Raw genomic sequence first — 18698 nt, 5'->3', positions numbered from 1 at the left:
GGGATGTATCTATTGTCTAGTTGCTATCTGCCATAGAATTAAGCCCTTCATCTGGCTTCTAGTTCTTCATACAGACTTTTATTATATTGCTGGTTAGTTTGTTTTACACTTGTCTCCCCTGTAAATTATTAGCTTTGAATGCCTAGCATAGTAGGCACTTCGCATTTCTTAATGGATTTTATCATTCTCGTTAATCTATGATTTTCTTTGGAGCACCAAAGTTAACCTCATCATTATATATTTTAAGGCATCAAATACTTCATTTTTCATATAGCTAATGAATACTTAGAGAACTTTGATTATGGAAACTCTTGTGGTGACATCTGTATTTTGTCATGTTCTGTACTACTAACGTAGACTTTGATAATAGAAGATAACAGTGAACAGACCTAAGATGTGTAATTAACTGCTTGCTCCTGGAGATTATTTTACCTTGGTAGAATAGAGACCTTCATGAGACTCACTCCATCCAATGCTGTGCTCTTCAGATGCAGAAAAGAGTCCAAGTCTCTCCTTTGGGCCACAAGAGGGCACCCTGCAGCTAGCTAACCCTCCCCTTCTTCAGAACAGCGTTTTCCAAAGAGTATGTCATTTTCAGAGGACTGATTTAAGGGTGAGTTAAGGTGCTTAAGCTTAAGTATTGCCAAAATAAATTTGTTAGACCAGTGCATAAGGTAAAATTCTCAACCCTAAGAAAAATTGAAGAAATTGAATTTTTTTTGTAAACAAAATCTGTAGCTTCACTGCAGTGCAATATCTGGTTAGGCATTATTTATGCTATTGGCAAATAAGAGGCAGATGAAAAGGGCTTTTGTTCTTTCCTGGCCACTACTTTTCTTTGCTCTTTAAAAAGCAGAATAACATATATTAAAAGCAGGGTTGAACAGTGCTTCAACCTTCTTGTCTATGACAAACTTGAACTTGCTGATAATTCTTTAAGAGCAAGAGAGTCAGGCTGGGCACAGTGGCTCACACCTGTAATCCCAGCACTTTGGGAGTCCAAGGTGGGCGGATCACAAGGTCAGGAGATAGAGACCATCCTGGCTAATACGGTGAAACCCCGTCTCTACTAAAAATACAAAAAATTAGCCGGGCGTGGCGGCAGGCGCCTGTAGTCCCAGCTACTCGGGAGGCTGAGGCAGGAGAATGGCGTGAACCCGGGAGGCGGAGCTTGCAGTGAGCCGAGATTGCACCACTGCTCTCTGGCCTGGGGGACAAACCGAGACTCCGTCTCAAAAAAAAAAAAAAAGAACAAGAGAGTCATACTCCTACATTAATTTTAGACTCCCTTTATCACTTCTTAGATGTATATTGTATATATGTTTTCAAACTGGTGTTTTTTCACTCTTTCTAAATAATATTTAATAATTTTAAAGTTATCTTTGCAGATCAAAAAAATGTCATGATCTGAAACAGTGGTTGAAAGGGTTTAGTTATTTGGGGGAAAGAGTAGCTGGGTTGAATGGTATGTTAAAAGAAAAAAGCTTAAATCCAGACTTCCTTATTGGACATGTCAGATATGGAGAGTAAAAGTGACCACGGTTTCCTGCTACCTGGTGGATAGCAGCATGTCAGTGTATCTGTAACCTTCATCCAGTAAAAATATATTTTAAGATGCTCTCATTAGTTTATTTCTTAACAGTTTAAGCACTAACACTGTCACCTCAAAAAGATAGCTAAGAAAAACCTACTGAGATTTCTGTCTCTGGGTTCTCTCTCCCACAAGCCTTTCTATCTTTCCTCATCTCACAGGCAGCAAGGAACCTTCTGGGATTTCCTTCTTTGCCTCTCTCTCTCACCAGTCTTCTCCTCCTTTCCTGACAGGTGAGGTTTTTTTGTTTTTGTTATATCCCAGAATTCATTCATTGGAATAAATTAAAAGCAGCCTTGAGTTTCTGGCTCTTAAGTTTTCTAAAAATGCTTTTTTTTTTTTTTAATGCAAAACGGTTTTTAAAATAGATTACCCTTGTCTTGACTTTCTTTAAAAATAGTTTTTGCTTACTGTTGTCTTAAGTGTTGTAAATCTCTAATGTACAAAGTGTTACATCTACATGTAGGACTAATTTCAAATTTACTGTGTTTTGTAGATCATGATGTCTTTACTGAGCCATCATCAGAAGGCATCCACAAATAAGAGATTTGTATTCACCTATTCATAAACTTACCCTCTCTGTTTTTACACTGATAGCATGTTTCTGTCGAAAGACCTACTGATTTGCATTATGTCATGTGGCTTAAAAAGAGCAAAACTAATCTATAGGAGATTGAACTCTGCTTTATTAGTGTAGTGTTAAGTCAGACACACTGCATAGGCTCATACCTATTAGCTTCTCTAGGTTGTTGGGGCACATATAGCTGGGTTTCTGCTTATTTTTTAAATAACAGGAAAGAGGGCCCTGTCTGAAATTCTTCAGAAAATCCAGAATCTAACTTTAAATCACTGAATTAATATCTTTTATTTTGAGAATATCTTTATAGCTTAGTATGATAAGCAGTGCTCTCTCCTGTCTTTCCAACACAATAATATATAAAGAAAGCATTAAAGAAAGCCTGTGTACTAAGATTCTATGTAGTGTGGTGAAGTGGAAGACTTACTAGGTAGGGGAGGAAGGAGACTTGTGTTTTCTCCTAGATCTCTCCCTAGTGTTATGACCTTGAGTAAGACTGACTGACTTTAAAAATAATAATAAGAATAACCTTTTGTATGAATCACATGTATCTCTGAAATGCTCTTGCTTTAATATAAGCTCTTAGGGATAACTGGAATGGAAACCAGCCATTTCAAATAGTGTTTAAATAGCTGGTCATAGTTTGTCTAGATAATCTCTATCTTAATTCTATCTTAAACTTTACCCACTGTAATAGGAAGACTATCATGATAATATTTTAAGCATTTTTATTTTTTCCTTATTCCCAGTGGTGATCTGATACTGGATTTTTTTTTTTTTTTTTTTTTTTTTTTTTTGCTAGTCCGTATCTCTAGAATAATACTCAAAATTTTCAGAAATCATGATGAATTAAAATATGATTGAAAAGAACTCTTTTATGGTAGTTAAATGTGAAGAGAAGGGTCTTAGAATTAAGTAGATATGGGTTCAGATCCCCTTGTTAACATTTACCAGCTTATGTGTAACCTTGGTCAGTTTTCCTTATGCAGAATGTGACTGTAGTAGTAAACTGTTCTTCCTAAGTAGTGGGTTTTCATCATCCCGCTAGGATAGTCAAACTGACTCAAGAGAAGTCAAACAGCTATGGACAAAATCGTTAAAGTGAATAATATAATATTTGAAATCAGTTGAATGTTGTGGGTCAGTAAGTTAAGTCATGTTTGATAACAGTAAAGGATTCATACTGTTGGTAGTGAAGATACCTAATATTTATGTGTCTGCTGTGTACTATATGCCATTCTTTTTTTTTTTTTTTTTTGAGATGGAGTCTCGCTCTGTCGCCTAGGCTGGAGTGCAGTGGCGCAATCTTGGCTCACTGCAATCTCCACCTCCCAGGTTCGAGTTATTCTCCTGCCTCAGCCTCCCGAGTAGCTGGGACCGCAGGCGTGTGCCACTACGCCTGGCTAATTTTTTGTATTTTTAGTAGAGACAGAGTTTCACAGTGTTAGCCAGGATGATCTCAATTTCCTGACCTCGTGGTCCGCCCACTTCGGCCTCCCAAAGTGCTAGGATTACAGACGTGAGCCACCGCACCTGGCCCTAGATGTAATTCCGTGCAGTTTATAGATGAGGAAACTGAAGCGCAGAAAAGGTTAATTAAAACTAGTCCAAGGCCACATAATAGTACTTGAAGAGCAGTTTGAACCCAGGGAAGTCTTGAGTGTTTACAGTACTACTTCTGTACAGTACTACTTCCTGTTGGAAGTGATGACATTTAGTAATGTTTGCTGTTGATACCAAGGATTTGAGAAAATGAAAGTGTTAATATCTTTCATTAACAGAAAAGATTAAAGTCTGGAAAAGCACCATTTTTGTGTTCTGTGGAGTTACTTTGTGTTTTGTTCTCTATGTTTCATTTGTTGTTGTTGTTGTTTGTTTTGTTTGTTTTTTGTTTTTTGTTTTGGAGGCAGGATCTTGCTCTGTGGCCCAAGCTGGAGTGCAGTGGCATTGTCTCAACTTACTGCAACCTCTGACCCTTGGCCTAAAGTGATCCTCCCACATCAGCCTCCCCAGTGTCTGGGACTGCAGGTGCACGCCACCACGCCTGGCTAATTTTTATATTTTTTGTAGAGACATTGTTTCGCCATGTTGCCCAGGCTGGTCTTCAACTCCTGAGCTCAAGCAGTCTGCCTGCCTCAGCTAATTATAGCTCGCTGCAGCCTTGACCTCCCAGGCTCATTCCATCCTCCCATCTCAGCCTCCTAAATAGCTGGGACTAGAGGTGCATGCCACCACACCCGGCTAATTTATTTTATATTTATTTATTTATAATTATTTTATTTTTTAAAAGAGACAGGGTCTCACAGTGTTGGCCAGGCTGGTCTCTAGCTCCTGGGCTCAAACTATCTTCTCACCTCCCTCAGTGCTGGGATTACAGGCATGAGTCTCTGCTCCCTGTTACAACTTAGTTTTGAGGATCTGTTCTTACCTCTTTTGAACTTCCATTATAAGTAGAGTGACTTTACATTCTGATTTGCCCAGGACAGCTCAGATCTATATCTTCTCATGGCATGATTATTAATAGCATCTTTTTTCACTAAAGTATCCCATTTGGGATGATAAATTATATAAATAATTTAAAACAATTTACATTTTAAATCCTTTTAAGTCTTGGGATTATGTTTATTTGGTTGGTTTAGGGGTTTTCCATAACAATTTAAAAAGTCTGAAGTATAGGTATACTCATGTAAATGCCTGAGTGGGAGTTTATTTTATTTTTTTTTTTGATGCAGCATGCCTGGGTGCTGATAGGTTTCTTTGGAAATGGGGAAAGCAAGCCATACATTTGAAGGAAAAGACACTGTATATTCCCTCAAACACTGGAGTTAGGATAGAAGAGCAGATTGATAAGAAACACTGAGTTGCCTGACCTTCTTTTAGAGTTTGTGAAGTAGGGAACTAATATGAAGTGGTATTGGATAACATATTTTATAGATCTTAACGGTTTCTTAATTTTGTTTTCTGTAATGTTGTATGGTTGCTCTTTCTACTACAGTAAAAGATTCTCCAGGGGCAAATCTCCTATTTTTATTGCTGTTCTAATCAATGCATTGTTTAACCTTTTTTTTTCCTCTTTAACTGTGTTCTATCCTGAATTGTTGCCTTCCCCTACATTTAGTTCACTTTAACCTATTATTAGTCACCAGCTAGTAGATCCCCTAAAAGTATTTGAGTCAGTATCTAAACTGTCAGAGCAAATAGTTTTTAGAATATCAGTGAAGGCCTTTGGTAGAGTGTTAATTTCAACTATTAAATTTTCCTGTGCATAAAAACTTCTAAATGTTCGAAAATGAAGGTACTCATAGTATAGTGCTTGGCCATAGTAGACACACTTGGTAAGTGGTTTACAGACTCCCCTCCCCCCCGCTTCCCAGCCCAGGTAAACAATTTGCGTTTTTTCTTTTTCTTTTTTCTTTTTTTGAGACAGAGTCTCGCTCTGTCGCCAGGCTGGAGTGCAGTGGCACGATCTCGGCTCACTGCAACCTCGGCCTCCCAGATTCAAGCAATTTTCTTGCCCAGCCTCCTGAGTAGCTGGGACTACAGGTGTGTGCTGCAATTTGCATTTTAAAGCATTTTGAAGGCACTCCCGGAACTTTAATCCCAAAAGACTTCAGAATAGTCTCAAAGGGGTGCTATTACTTTTACTACCTCATAAGATTAGTCTATTTTAGCCACTTCTTTGTCTGTGATAAATGCTTTATTAGTTATTACAACTTTAGATTACTTATTTGTTATTATTTTGATACTGAGACTTTTTTCTTCATGAAGTATGGGATAAAAGCATTGCTTTATTCTTTAAGGAATTATTTTCATCTGCTTGGAATGGCTTATACAGTATTTTTAAGGGATTAACTTGGGTTTTAACTGTGAATGTTCTATTATTTAAATATATCAAGTATGCTTTAGTATTCATATTACTAGATTTATGTTTTGTTGAATATTTACGTGAATCTTTTATGATGAGATTTTTAAAATAGAAGGAATACAAGTTATAGTTTACTTACTGGGATCTTTGTTAGAGCAGATTATTGTTTAAAATGTCTGCTCTTTATAAATACCAGTCATTTACAGCCCAGGGCCATCCTAGCATTTAAAAACTTTTTTTAAAAAAATGGAGTTTTTTTTTTAATTAAAACATTTAAACATTTTAATTAACATTTTTTAATTAAAACATTTAGTTTAGCAAAATATATGTAATTCAGGAACATGCTCAAATTGAATTTCTTCTCTTCCCTTTAAAGCTGCCTCTCCTGGTTTGTTGTTGTTTTCCTATTGTGGTCAATAGCAGTACCATTTACCTTTTTAGCTGTTTAAGTTATTAAACAGGTTATTCTTTTTAGTTATCTTCCCCACCATTTGTATTCAGATCCTTTTGACTCCAAGGTGTCTCAGATCCATTTTATTTTCTCAGCTTTCTCTGCTAGTACCCTCTTTTTTGTTTGTTTGTTTTTTGTTTTTTGAGACAGTCTCACTCTGTCACCCAGGCTGGAGTGCAGTGGCGCAACCTCCACCTCCTGGGTTCAAGCATTTCTCTGCCTCAGCCTCCCAGGTAGCTGGGATTACAGGCACTGGCAACCACGCCTGGCTAATTTTTGTATTTTTAGTAGAGACAAGGTTTCACCGTCTTGGCCAGGCTGGTCTTGAACTCCTGACCTCGTGATCCACCTGTCTAGGCCTCCCAAAGTGCTGGGATTACAGGTGTGAGCCACCTCTCCTGGCCCAGTACCCTCTTTTAGTTCTTGCTCTCTTGGCCCTCTTATTGTAAATTGCCAAAATTCATCTCCTTGTTCTTTCTATTTGTTATTCTTAAAACTTACAACTTGAGTTTTTTGTAGTACATAGTGTCACCCTTGCTAACTCTTCTCTATTCCCTGTTGCTTCAGTAGAGCATCTAACTTCCTTAGCATGTCTTTAAGGGTCTTCATAATCTGATCTGCCAGCATCTGTTAGCTTTGCTAGCATGAACTTTTGACCTTCCCACATGTTTCATCTTACACCCTATTCTACACACTGCATTTTCTCAAGTTTTGCGTTTATTAATGGTTTACTATGTCACACACACAAACACACACATCTTATCTCAGACCAATTTCAGGTATTACTGAGTTATATTTATTATAGTTTATATGTTTGTGAGCTCTCTAAAGGTGAGCAGACCATGCCCTTAAGAGGTAAACATATAGGTAATTGAGTGTGATAAGTTTAATAGAAGTATACACAGGTTTTATTGTTAGCACTGAAAAGACTGGACACCTACTTAAGAGTTGAGAGTGATGGTGTCTTATGAATGCTTCTTTAAAATGCTAAGTTCACTTCTCAGAAAACCAGTCTGTTCTTCTCAAACAAACATATCCAAGTTGGCCACCTCCTAAGCGACAGGGACAGTAGGGAGATATGAATGAATATTAAAGAATAAGAATTGTCCAAAATGTTCATTTTGAGTAATCAGTGAATGATTGTATCAACACAATTTTTATGTGCTATGCATGTCACAGTATAGGATAGAGCACAGGGCCTTGAGATTGTTTCTTTTCTATGCATGTTTTCTACCATCCATAGCTTTTTGTTATGGGTTTGACAGATAGTACTCAGCAGCTAGTAAGAGGTGTGAATTTCACTTCCATTGAATAACTGAGTTAAAAATGAAAAAGTATTTTCTATTCTAGAAGATATGATAGGAGGTGGTCTAGGGAGAGGACTTGGAAGTGAAGGGAAAAGTTCAGTCATTCCTATGGATGTGCTTATTAAATCTGTTACTGAGTAAGGAATTTAATAAGCCTTTTGAATAAATTTACATTGTAATAAAAATGTATGAAAAGTGAAGAAAAGTCAGAAGTAGATTTTGATTTTTGTTTAAGGTCTAGAATTACTAGCACCAGCACACAAAAATAAATGGGGAGTTAATTTACTATTAACAAAACAGCTTAGAAAATAGGTCACTCTGAATTTTCATTAGCATTGAAAACTAATGTATACATAGCAGTGATATGTTTGAGACTTCTTATATATTAATTCTTTGTAATTAGAATAAAATTTAACTGTAATTTTTCCTCCAAATAGCTTTTGCCTACCAAAAAGTTTTGGGAACCTGATGATTCAACAAAAGATGGACAAAAAGGCATATTTCTTGGGGATGATGAATGGAGAGAGACTGCATGGGGAGCTTCTCGTAAGTTACTGGTATATGTGTGAGAATTGTGAATATATTTAGCATTTTATAAGTCATAATGCACCTTTTTTTTTAGAGTGAGTCTCCAAATTTTTGCATTTTTTGTATAGTTTTGCGCTATTGCCCAGGCTGGTCTCAAATAACTGAGCTCATGCAATCCTCCTGCCTTGGCCTCCCAAAGTGCTGGGATGGTAGGCGTGAGCCACCACACCCAGCCCTATGCACATTTTCTTAATGGCAGCTAAGAAATGTAATTTTAGAAGTGTTTGTCACAGTAAGATTTTATCAAGGGTTTTTTTTTAATTGATTGTAAAATTCTGTGGCTATTATTAAAAAATAAGATGCTGGTGAGGTTGTGGTGAAAAAGGACCACTTATACACTACTAGTGGAAATGTAAATTAGTTCAGCCATTGTGGAAAGCATTGTGTCAATTCCTCAGAGAAGTAAAAACAGAATTACCATTCAATCCAGCAATCCCATTATTGGGTATATACCCCAAGGAATATAAATTGTGCTACCATAAGACACACACGTGTATGTTTGCAGCAGCATTATTCCATAATAGCAAAACCATGGAAAAACCTAAATGCCCATCAATACTAGGGTGGATAAAGAAAATGTGGTACATATGCACCATGGAACACTATGCAGCCATGAAAAAAAGATTGAGATAATGTCCTTTGCAGCAACATGGATGGGGCTGGAGACCATTACCTTTAGCGAACACAGGAACAGAAAACCAAATACTGAATGTTCTCACTTATGACGAGAACACAGGGACACAAAGAGGGGAACAACAGACATAGGGGCCTCCTTGAGGGTAGAGGGTGGGAGGAGGGAGAGGATCAGAAAAAATACCCATCAGGTACTTTTTTTAGTACCTGAGTAATGAAATAATCTGTACACCAAACCCCTGTGACATGAATTTACCTATATAACAAACCTGCACATGTACCCCCCCAATCTAGAATAAAAGTTTAAAAATAATAAAATTCTGTATTTTCATTTAAAATGGGGGATAGATTAATTTAACCATAGAAATTTTTAGTCTTAAATTGTACTAGGTGATCGTGACTGATTTATCTAATTGCAGCTCAGCCTAGCTTTATTAGATATTTGCCACACCCAGGAAGGAAGTAGACTGTCTTGGTAAGATAGAGCTCCCAGAAAGGGAGCAGATCTTTAAATGTTTTGATTTCAACTTCATAAGTAGTGGGGAGAGACTTAGGTCTAAGAAACTGTTAAGGGAAAATTAACTGGTGTATAAGGAGTATAACATGCAGGAGTGACAGTGTTGGCAAATTAAAGATCATAGTTAAATGCTTTTTTTTTTTCCTTTTTAAGAGGGTGTTGCTCTGTTGCCTAGGCTGGTGTGCAGTGGCATGATCTTAGCTCGCTGCAGTCTCAAGCTTTTGGGCTAAAAAGATCCTTCTGCCTCCTCTTCCTGAGTAGCTAGGACTACAGGCTCACACCATCACATCTGGCTAATTTTTTTTTTTTCCCCTGAGACAGAGTCTCGCTCTGTGGCCCAGGCTGGAGTGCAGTGGCCCAGTCTTGGCTCACTGCAACCTCCGCCTCCCAGGTTCAAGTGATTCTCCTGCCTCAGCCTCCTGAGTAGCTGGGATAATAGGTGCTCGCTACCACAGCCTGCTAATTTTCATATTTTTCGTAAAGATGGAGTTTCGCCATGTTAGCCAGGCTGGTCTCGAAATCTTACCTCAGGTGATCTGCCTGCCTCAGCCACCCAGAGTGCTGGGATTAGGGCATGAGCCACCATGCCTGGCCGTGTCTGGCTAATTTTTAAAACTTTCTTTTAGAGATGGGGGTCTCACTATGTTACCCAGGCTGGTCTCGGAACTTCTGCCCTCAAGTGATCCTCCTGCCTCAGGCGTGAGCCACCTTGTTCGGCCCATAGTTGTATTAAAGTAGTTAGCATATCATTTTACTGATTATATTTTAAAATGTTTCCAGTTAGTAAAATCTGAGAGGCGTACAGCTAGATCATATATTTTACAAATATTTTCTTTTTTTTTTTTTAAGTTAATACAGTTTGCTTAAGCTCTGCAGAATAACCAAAGTAATAATGAAAACAAATTTTTGGATGATAATTAGCCAGTTATCATTATTTTTCCAGTGTTAATCATGAGATATTTTCTTATTCTCTAAATCATTAAAATATATTAGAAGATTTAATGCTTCTATATAATGTTTAATTTCATTGTTAAAATAAAATAATTGCCAAAAAGCTAAAATCTAAAAGGTTAGGAAGTCTGGAAAATGTTGGTGATTTCAACAAAGTAGGTTGCAAATGTTGGCAACAAGTAATTTAGACAAAAATTTTCTTTAAACATTATAAATTTCCTTTGAGTTCAACTAATATGTGATACATAATATGCCAGGTTTGGAGAATATAAAGATAAATTATATGACCCTTGTCCTCAAGGAATTTTTGTTTTTCTGAATTAGAATTAACCTATATTAGGTTAGACTCATAATTTTAAATATTTAGTAATTTGGACTGGGATACATCTTCCCTACAAAAGGCATATTTCTTGCTGAGAGCATGTGTGCTTGGTAACTTGGTTGATGGACATGATTTGAAAGTTGAATGCACAGTTTATTTACCAGAATCAGAACCAATGATTTAAAAAAGTTTTTATCTTTGTTTTTTGGTTTGTTTTTTTTTTTTTTTTTTTTTTGAGACCAGGTTATAAGACTGGCTAATTTTTGTATTTTTGGTAGAGATGGGGTTTCACCATGTTGCCGAGGCTTGTCGCAAACCCCTGAGCTCAAACAATCCACCTGCCTCAGCCTCCCGAAGTGCTGGAATTAAAAGTATGCGCCACTATGCCCAGCCAACCAAAGATTTTTTGAGGTGTTGAAAAGCAAAGCATCTTGAGCACACCATGACAGAGAGATTATTTCAAGATGGATGATAGAGAAACCGTGAAATTTATTATTTCAGTCAATTTTTTGTACCACTCATCTCCCAACTCTCATAACATTTTGAAGATGAGTGTTTGTCTTTTACTAGAAACCATGAGAAAATTAGAAATGAATGGAATTTTGTTTACCTAACAAACATTTATTGAATGCCAGACACATAAAAATATGCATAACACCTTCTTGTTCTAAAGGAATTGTCATTCTAAGAGAGTCTCTTTCCATGACTGCAGGAGACTTGACATACTTCCTCTCAGCAGAACCACATTACTTGTGATTATCAGGTTCATCATGTTCTCCAGCACTTCTTGGCATTTGAACATGCCGGTTTCTGTAACTGAAATGTCCTATCACTCTCACCTCCCCATTGGTTACCTTTTTTTTAACCCTTATCAGCTGAAATATCACTTCCATCTGTAATTGCAGCACTTTAGGAGGTCAAGGCTGGCAGATACTTGAGGCCAGGAGTTTGAGACCAGCTGGGCAATATAGTGAGACCCTGCACCTTCCCACCAAAAAAAAAAAAAAAAAAGAAGCACACTTCCTTTGGTGGCATTGATTTGAAGACTTGGAAGGATTGATGCCCATCTTTCGTACTTTTGCTTTTTTTTTTTTTCCTTAAATTTTACTTTTTCCTTTAAGCTCTGTTAGACTTGAATGCCCATCTTTCAGATCTCATAGTATCATGGATTATATTTTTGTTAAAGCACTTTTTTCTATTCTAATTGCCTTTTATTAAACCTGTACTCTTGAGGACAAACTGTGTTGTTCTCGGATTCCTCATGTATAGCTCATTGCTTAGCATACAAGAGAATGAATCAATATTTCAACTGTGTAATGAACGGATACATGACTGAAAGAAAGGATATAATGACTAATCTCCTGGATGCACATACTGAAATGGAAATGTTTTGATTTGGTTTAACAAACCTGGCCATCATTTCAAAATTATTACAGTTAATAAAATGATAACTGGCTACCAGTATGACATTTCAGCCTCAATAGTTTAAATATTGAGTATTTATACCTGTCACAAACAAGTCAGAGGTAGCTGGTAGCTTACCGGTTCTTTCAAAAAAGTTTCCAGCAAAAACTATTTGAATGTTGCCTCAAATGTATTACTATATTTGCATTCCATTAACTCTCAGATCTTAAATACTACCTTTACTTTTCATTGCAAAAGTATGGAGAAAAAATATATCAAATGAATAATTTTGTTTTAAAATAAATTGAAAAATTTTAAGATAGAAGATAATTTAGTTTTTTTTTAACCAAGAATAGAAAATTCTGTGGTATTACTGATTTTTCTGGACTTACTCATTTGTGATTATAGCGTTATAGTCGTGAGTTCTGATCTATCCAGTGCGTAACTGTGAACTTGAGAAGTGTTTCTGCCAAATCGAAAGTTTATTTTATTTTATTGTTATTTTAATTTATTTATTTGCAGTGGGGAGCAGGGTCTCATGTCACCCAGGCTGGAGTGCAGTGGCACAATCACGGCTCACCAAAGCCTTGACCTCCCGGGCTCAGGTGATCCTTCCACCTCATCAACCTCCTTAGTAGCTGGGACTATAAGTGCCCGTCACCATGTCCAGCTAATTTTTGTATTCTTAGTAGAGATGAGGTTTCGCCTTTTTGCCCAGGCTGGTCTTGAACTCCTGAGGTCAAGCAGTCCACCCGCCTCAGTCTGTCAAAGTACTGGGATTACAGGAGTGAGTCACTGCCCCTGGCCTTTTTTTTTTTTTTTTTTTTTTTTTGAGACAGGATCTCACTCTGTCACCCAGAGTGGAGTACAGTGGTGTGAACATGGCTCACTGCAGCTTCAACCTCCTGAGTTCAAGTAATCTTCCCCCCTCAGCTCTCACCTCCTGAGTAGCTGGGACTACAGACCTGTGCTGCCATGCTTGGCTAATTTTTAAACTTTTTGTAGAGATGGGAACTCATCATGTTTCCCATGCTAGTCTCAAGCTCCTCTGCTCAAGTGATCCTCCTCAGCCTCCTGAAGTGCTGGGATAGCACGTATGAGCCCCTGCTGTCCAGCCTCTTCTAGGTTTTATCCCTGAAGGTTTATATTATGAATTGTTACGTTATAAATTGTCAAAAGGAGGTTAACTTTTTAAAATGATGTTTATAAGCAACTGATCCTTTAGGTAGTATCCTTTGCATACTATTTCTACCTTTATTGACCTTTTTGGTTGTACTGTTCTTAACATAGGTTTTTATATGTTTATTGCCAAATGGCGCTTTCCGTCTGTATTTTCAAGATGTGTGCTCCAGCCAGTTAGTCTCAACCAAAAGTTTTCTCCCAAATTCTGTAGGTTGCCTGTTCACTCTGATGATAGTTTATCTTGCTGTGTGGAAGCTCTTTAATTAGATCCCATTTGCCAATTTTGGCTTTTGTTGCCATTGCTTTTGGTGTTTTAGTCATGAAGTCCTTGCCCATTCCTATGTCCTGAATGGTATTGCCTAGGTTTCCTTCTAGGGTTTTTATGGTTTTAGGTCTTACATTTAAGTCTTTAATCCATCTTGAGTTAATTTTTGTATAAGGTATAAGGAAGGGATCCAGTTTCAGCTTTCTACATATGGCTAGCCAGTTTTCCCAGCATCATTTATTAAATAGGGAATCCTTTCCCCATTGCTTGTTTTTCTCAGGTTTGTCAAAGATCAGGTGGCTATAGATGTGTTATTTCTGAGGCCTCTGTTCTGTTCCGTTGATCTATATATCTGTTTTGGTACCAGTACCATGCTGTCTTGGTTACTGTAGCCTTGTAGTATAGTTTGAAATCAAGTAGCGTGATGTCTCCAACTTTGTTCTTTTTGCTTAGGATTGTCTTGGCTATGCGGACTCTTTTTTGGTTCCATATGAAATTTAAAGTAATTTTATCTAATTCTGTGAAGAAAGTCAGTGGTAGCTTGATGGGGATAGCATTGAATCTGTAAATTACCTTGGGTAGTATGGCCATTTTCATGATATTGATTATTCCTATCTATGAGCATGGAATGTTCTTCCATTTGTTTGTGTCCTATGAAGAGCTTTATATAAAGATTATAGTAATAACATTCAAAATAAAACAATGTGCTGATTTTTCTTACTTCAGTATATTAATTTAACTACATTTTGTTTAACTTAAAAGTATAAGTATATAATTGTGTTTTTTCTTCCAAACAGACCATTCAATGTCCCAGCCTATTATGGTACAGAGAAGATCTGGACAGGGTTTTCATGGAAACAGTGAAGTAAATGCAATACTGTCTCCGCGATCAGAAAGTGGAGGCCTTGGTGTGAGCATGGTAGAATATGTATTAAGTTCTTCTCCTGCTGATAAATTGGATTCTCGATTTAGGAAGGGAAATTTTGTAAGTATTTTGAATAAAGAAATATTTAATATTTGCTTGAGAGTTATTTGGTTACGTTACTTTTATTTTTAATTCAATTTGTTTTTCTGTGCCCTTCCTATAGCTAAGAGAAATTTTGTAACTATTATTGCTATTCTTCTGCTTAGCCACTTGAAAAACGTGAAATGATAGAACCATTGGAAATATGTATAATCTGAACCATGTTACAAAAGTCAAATCATACTAATTTTTAAACATAATCTGTAAAATTAAAATTGCTTATTCCTGGTAGTGCTTGATCTGAAAGTAACTAAACAAAATCGTCTACGCATTAAAGAAAATTTTAATCTAGTTTGTGGTGTTAACTGCTTTTCCAGCACCGCTATAGTTAAGGTTGCCTTAGCCCTTCTGTTATAAATCACTAGTTTGTACGCAATTTTTTGGCCTTTGATAAATTAATTGACTACGAAATTAAATAAGATTCAATGCTTTTATTGTTTACATGCACTGTAGTGTAGTGTTAGGTCACCTTATGGTGCCTTTTTTTTGTGTTCTATTAAATATTCAGAATCAAACAGATTCTTTTTCCTCAGGGCACTAGAGATGCTGAAACAGATGGACCTGAGAAAGGAGATCAAAAAGGCAAGGCTTCTCCATTTGAGGAGGACCAAAACAGAGATCTTAAACAAGGAGATGATGATGATTCTAAAATAAATGGCAGAGGTTTGCCAAATGGAATGGATGCCGATTGCAAAGATTTTAAGTAAGATTTTAACTTTCTCAAGAAGAAAAGCGTATCTTTTTAGGGATTATTACTATTAGTTGATGTGACTGATTTAGACATTTTCATCATTTAGGTTTATTTCCTTTGAACTTTGTGTTAATCTGGACAAATTTTAGTTTTTTACTATAAAGAAAATTTGTGATTATGAACCATTTTAAAAAAATAATCTTCAAACCAGCCTCTGAAACAGTGCATTCTGTTGAAGGAGTAATGTTAGAAGCTGTGCTTACTTTTCTGGTAATATAATAGTCTAAATTTGAACTTTTTCCTCTCTGTTAAATTTTAGTGAACTGTAGGTTTACTCTGATTTTTTTTTTTCCCCTCTTGGGAGTGCTTTTGAGCACCTTTCAGTGGAGTTTTCTTCCTTCTGAGTATATATGCCCTGCCTCCCATTTAACTTTTAAGAGGAGACAAAATTAGCTTAGGAGCAGTAATCTTTCTTAAAATATATGAGTTTGTGCTAATACTTAAGATTATTCCTGCAAATAGCAAATAGGGAACATATTAGAGACTTCTAAAAGTTAGCTTTAAGCTCATAATTTTTTACATTGTAGCCTTTTGTTGTCTTTTTATGGCAGTTAAATGAGTACTTTAGCCTTTGGTCTTAGATTAGACAGTATATATTTATCTATATATTAGGGAGTTGTTTCTTTGTATTGATTTTCTGTAGTATTTCAATAATGAGGTGCTTTGGAGCTTGTATCTGAAAATGAGTTGTTTCTTTGAGGTCTTATGACCATGGAATCTTACATAAAAAAGTATTAGGTATATGGTGGGTGGTATACTTTTACATTTATTGCCTTCAAAAGCAAAGTAACAATGCTTCTTAAAAACAGTGCCATTTCTATCTGTTCTGAGTGCAAAAAAGCATCCAAAACCAGTAAACCTCTTTTAACAAGAAATACATTTAATGCTATTCAGATTTAGAAATTTATTTCGAGTTTGTTCTTCACTATTACCTAATCTAAGTTTTAGTAAAGGAAATGCATGTAAAATTAAGTAGATGATAAACCCTTCAGAGTATACATTTATAATTGAAGTGTTAATACACCATTAACTATAGCAAGAAAATAGCACCACTGATAGCATTACTTTTTTTCCTAATGTCCTCTATTTTTGCTATATACGAGTTACTTTGTGTGAGAGGTTATACGTCTCCCCTGAAATATTAATGTGGACTTTACATTTATTAGCATTCTAATTTTATTCCATTAAGTTTTTAGGTATCTTTTAAATTACTAATTATTTTAGATACAGTATTAGTTACTACTTGACAGTATTAAAATGTGTTAACACAATCAACAGCTGTGGTCATACGGTCACTATGCCAGCACATCATTAATTTCTACATTAACTAATATGTCATCAATATATACATTATTGGAGTAGAACAGAAATGAGTAAAAGAACTATTGGACACTTATTTTTTAAAGAAAAATTGGCTGATTTTAAAGAAAATGCTTTTAGTTTTATCTTTTCATTCCATATGTTCCAAATGAAAAAAGAGCCTTTGGGATGTTCACGTACAAAATTAGGTGTGGCTTAAAGGGAAAGGAGTTTGAAATCTTCTGATTTTGCAAGGACAAAATGGTTGATGTTTAAGTGAGTGTAAGTTTGCTTACATATCTACAGAGAACAATTCTTGTAATCAAGAAATTGCTTTGTAAACTACTCTATATGTTAGCAAATTTATTCCAATTCAGACCACCTGAAGTTGGGAAGAGTTAGCTGTAGCAACTGGCATTAAAAGCCAGGTAGAACAGTTACTGCCATTTACTTAATGTACTCAAGTTTGAATATCCTGTGAATGCATAGTTACTCTGAACAATAAACTCTTTCTTACAAAGGAAAGGATCCTATATAAAACATTTATGTATAAGATAAGCTATAAATGAGGATTGATAATGGGCTAGAAATGTAAGTTTAGACCATGAAGGTGTTAATAAAAAGAGAAGCCAGTGCTTAAAATTTAGTCCAGTGTTAATGAATTCCTTGTGAAAATTAAGGAGGCTGTATAGTAGTAAGGTCCTTTTTTTTTTTTTTAATGTAGAAAGATCCTTTTCTTGCTGTGTATACTTAAGTTTTGATAAATGTCATACATTTCGATTTCTTTCTGATGGTTTCAGCTGAACTATTTGGTATAATAAGCATGGTCTTCGGAGGGCTTTCATAGTGGGCTTTCATAAATAGTTGCTTTTGTTCTTATTAGTTGGAATCAAAAGGTCATCTCTTAAGTCTCCTCAATAAGAAGACTGCAGCTTGAAAGATGACATGACTTGCTCAAAATCATATTTAAAAGACAAAGTCAGAAGTCAGCCTTTTGACTTATCATGTATAGTACTCTTTTCCTGTTGCATCCCACATTTTGGCCCCTTAAATAATGAAGACCATTATGATCTCTTATGGCCAGATTTTTTTCTTAAGTATTATTAAGCAGGATGTTATGGCAAAATTATGTGTTGGCAGGGCAGGACAGCAGTATGGTAAGTGGGTTTTGGTTTTGAGCTTTTTCATATTTGCCACTTAATAACCTGCTGTTAATACACTGTTCTTTGTGACTGTGACTTGAGACAGAGATTTCAGGTAGTATAAGCCTAAGTTGTGATACTGGCCAGTTTTTCTAATGTGTAAAATTGCATTATATCTTTATGTTATTCAGATTGAAGGGAGTAATCATTAATAATATTTTTAAAATCCTCAAATCATGCCAGCTGTTAAGAGGAAAGTTATATTAAATAGAAAAAAATGTGATAAGGTGGCATAGTGACCCAGAATGCCTTATTCATTGTGTTTTATGACCATTTGTTTTTCATGATTTTTCTATTTTCCCATTTCGCTATTTGACTTGTTACTTTTATTCATAATGCTTTTCTATTTTCTTTATGTAGTCGTACTCCTGGAAGTCGTCAAGCCTCTCCAACTGAAGTAGTTGAGCGCTTGGGCCCCAATACTAATCCCTCAGAAGGACTGGGGCCTCTTCCTAATCCTACAGCTAATAAACCACTTGTTGAAGAATTTTCAAATCCTGAAACTCAGAATCTGGATGCCATGGAACAAGTTGGTCTGGAATCCTTACAGTTTGACTATCCTGGTAATCAGGTACCAATGGACTCTTCAGGAGCTACTGTAGGCCTTTTTGACTACAATTCCCAGCAGCAGGTAAAAGCATGTTCTTTCTTTAAGAAGGTCCTCTTAACTGTATACTGGTTTAGCCTGAAGTGCTATGTGGCATTGAAAAGAATGGTAGGGGTTTTTGAGTACTAAATGTTTTATTGATTAAAGTGTCCTGTATTTGAG

At 36.2% G+C, this 18698-nt stretch overlaps 1 protein-coding gene across 54 annotated transcripts in view; it reads left to right on the top strand.

Moving 5' to 3' along the window:
- The window catches only part of PUM2 (pumilio RNA binding family member 2), a 103563-nt gene that overhangs the window by 25380 nt on the left and 59485 nt on the right, over positions 1-18698 (top strand). For 42 of the 54 annotated variants that reach the window (XM_047443807.1, XM_047443803.1, XM_047443821.1 and 39 more), the window contains 4 exons: positions 8229-8337; positions 14451-14638; positions 15211-15380; positions 18290-18560. In XM_047443807.1, coding sequence (XP_047299763.1) covers positions 8229-8337; positions 14451-14638; positions 15211-15380; positions 18290-18560 — 738 coding nt within the window. Of the gene's footprint in view, positions 1-488; positions 614-8228; positions 8338-14450; positions 14639-15210; positions 15381-18289; positions 18561-18698 lie in introns of those variants that run through there. The other 12 variants (XM_047443815.1, XM_047443814.1, XM_047443812.1 and 9 more) reach the window with 4 other exon arrangements.

The sequence above is a fragment of the Homo sapiens genome, chromosome 2, assembly GCF_000001405.40.
Source record: "Homo sapiens chromosome 2, GRCh38.p14 Primary Assembly".
NCBI classification, from domain to species: Eukaryota; Metazoa; Chordata; class Mammalia; order Primates; family Hominidae; genus Homo; species Homo sapiens.
Note: the sequence above shows the minus strand (reverse complement) of the source record. Positions and strands in the feature narration are given on the sequence as shown.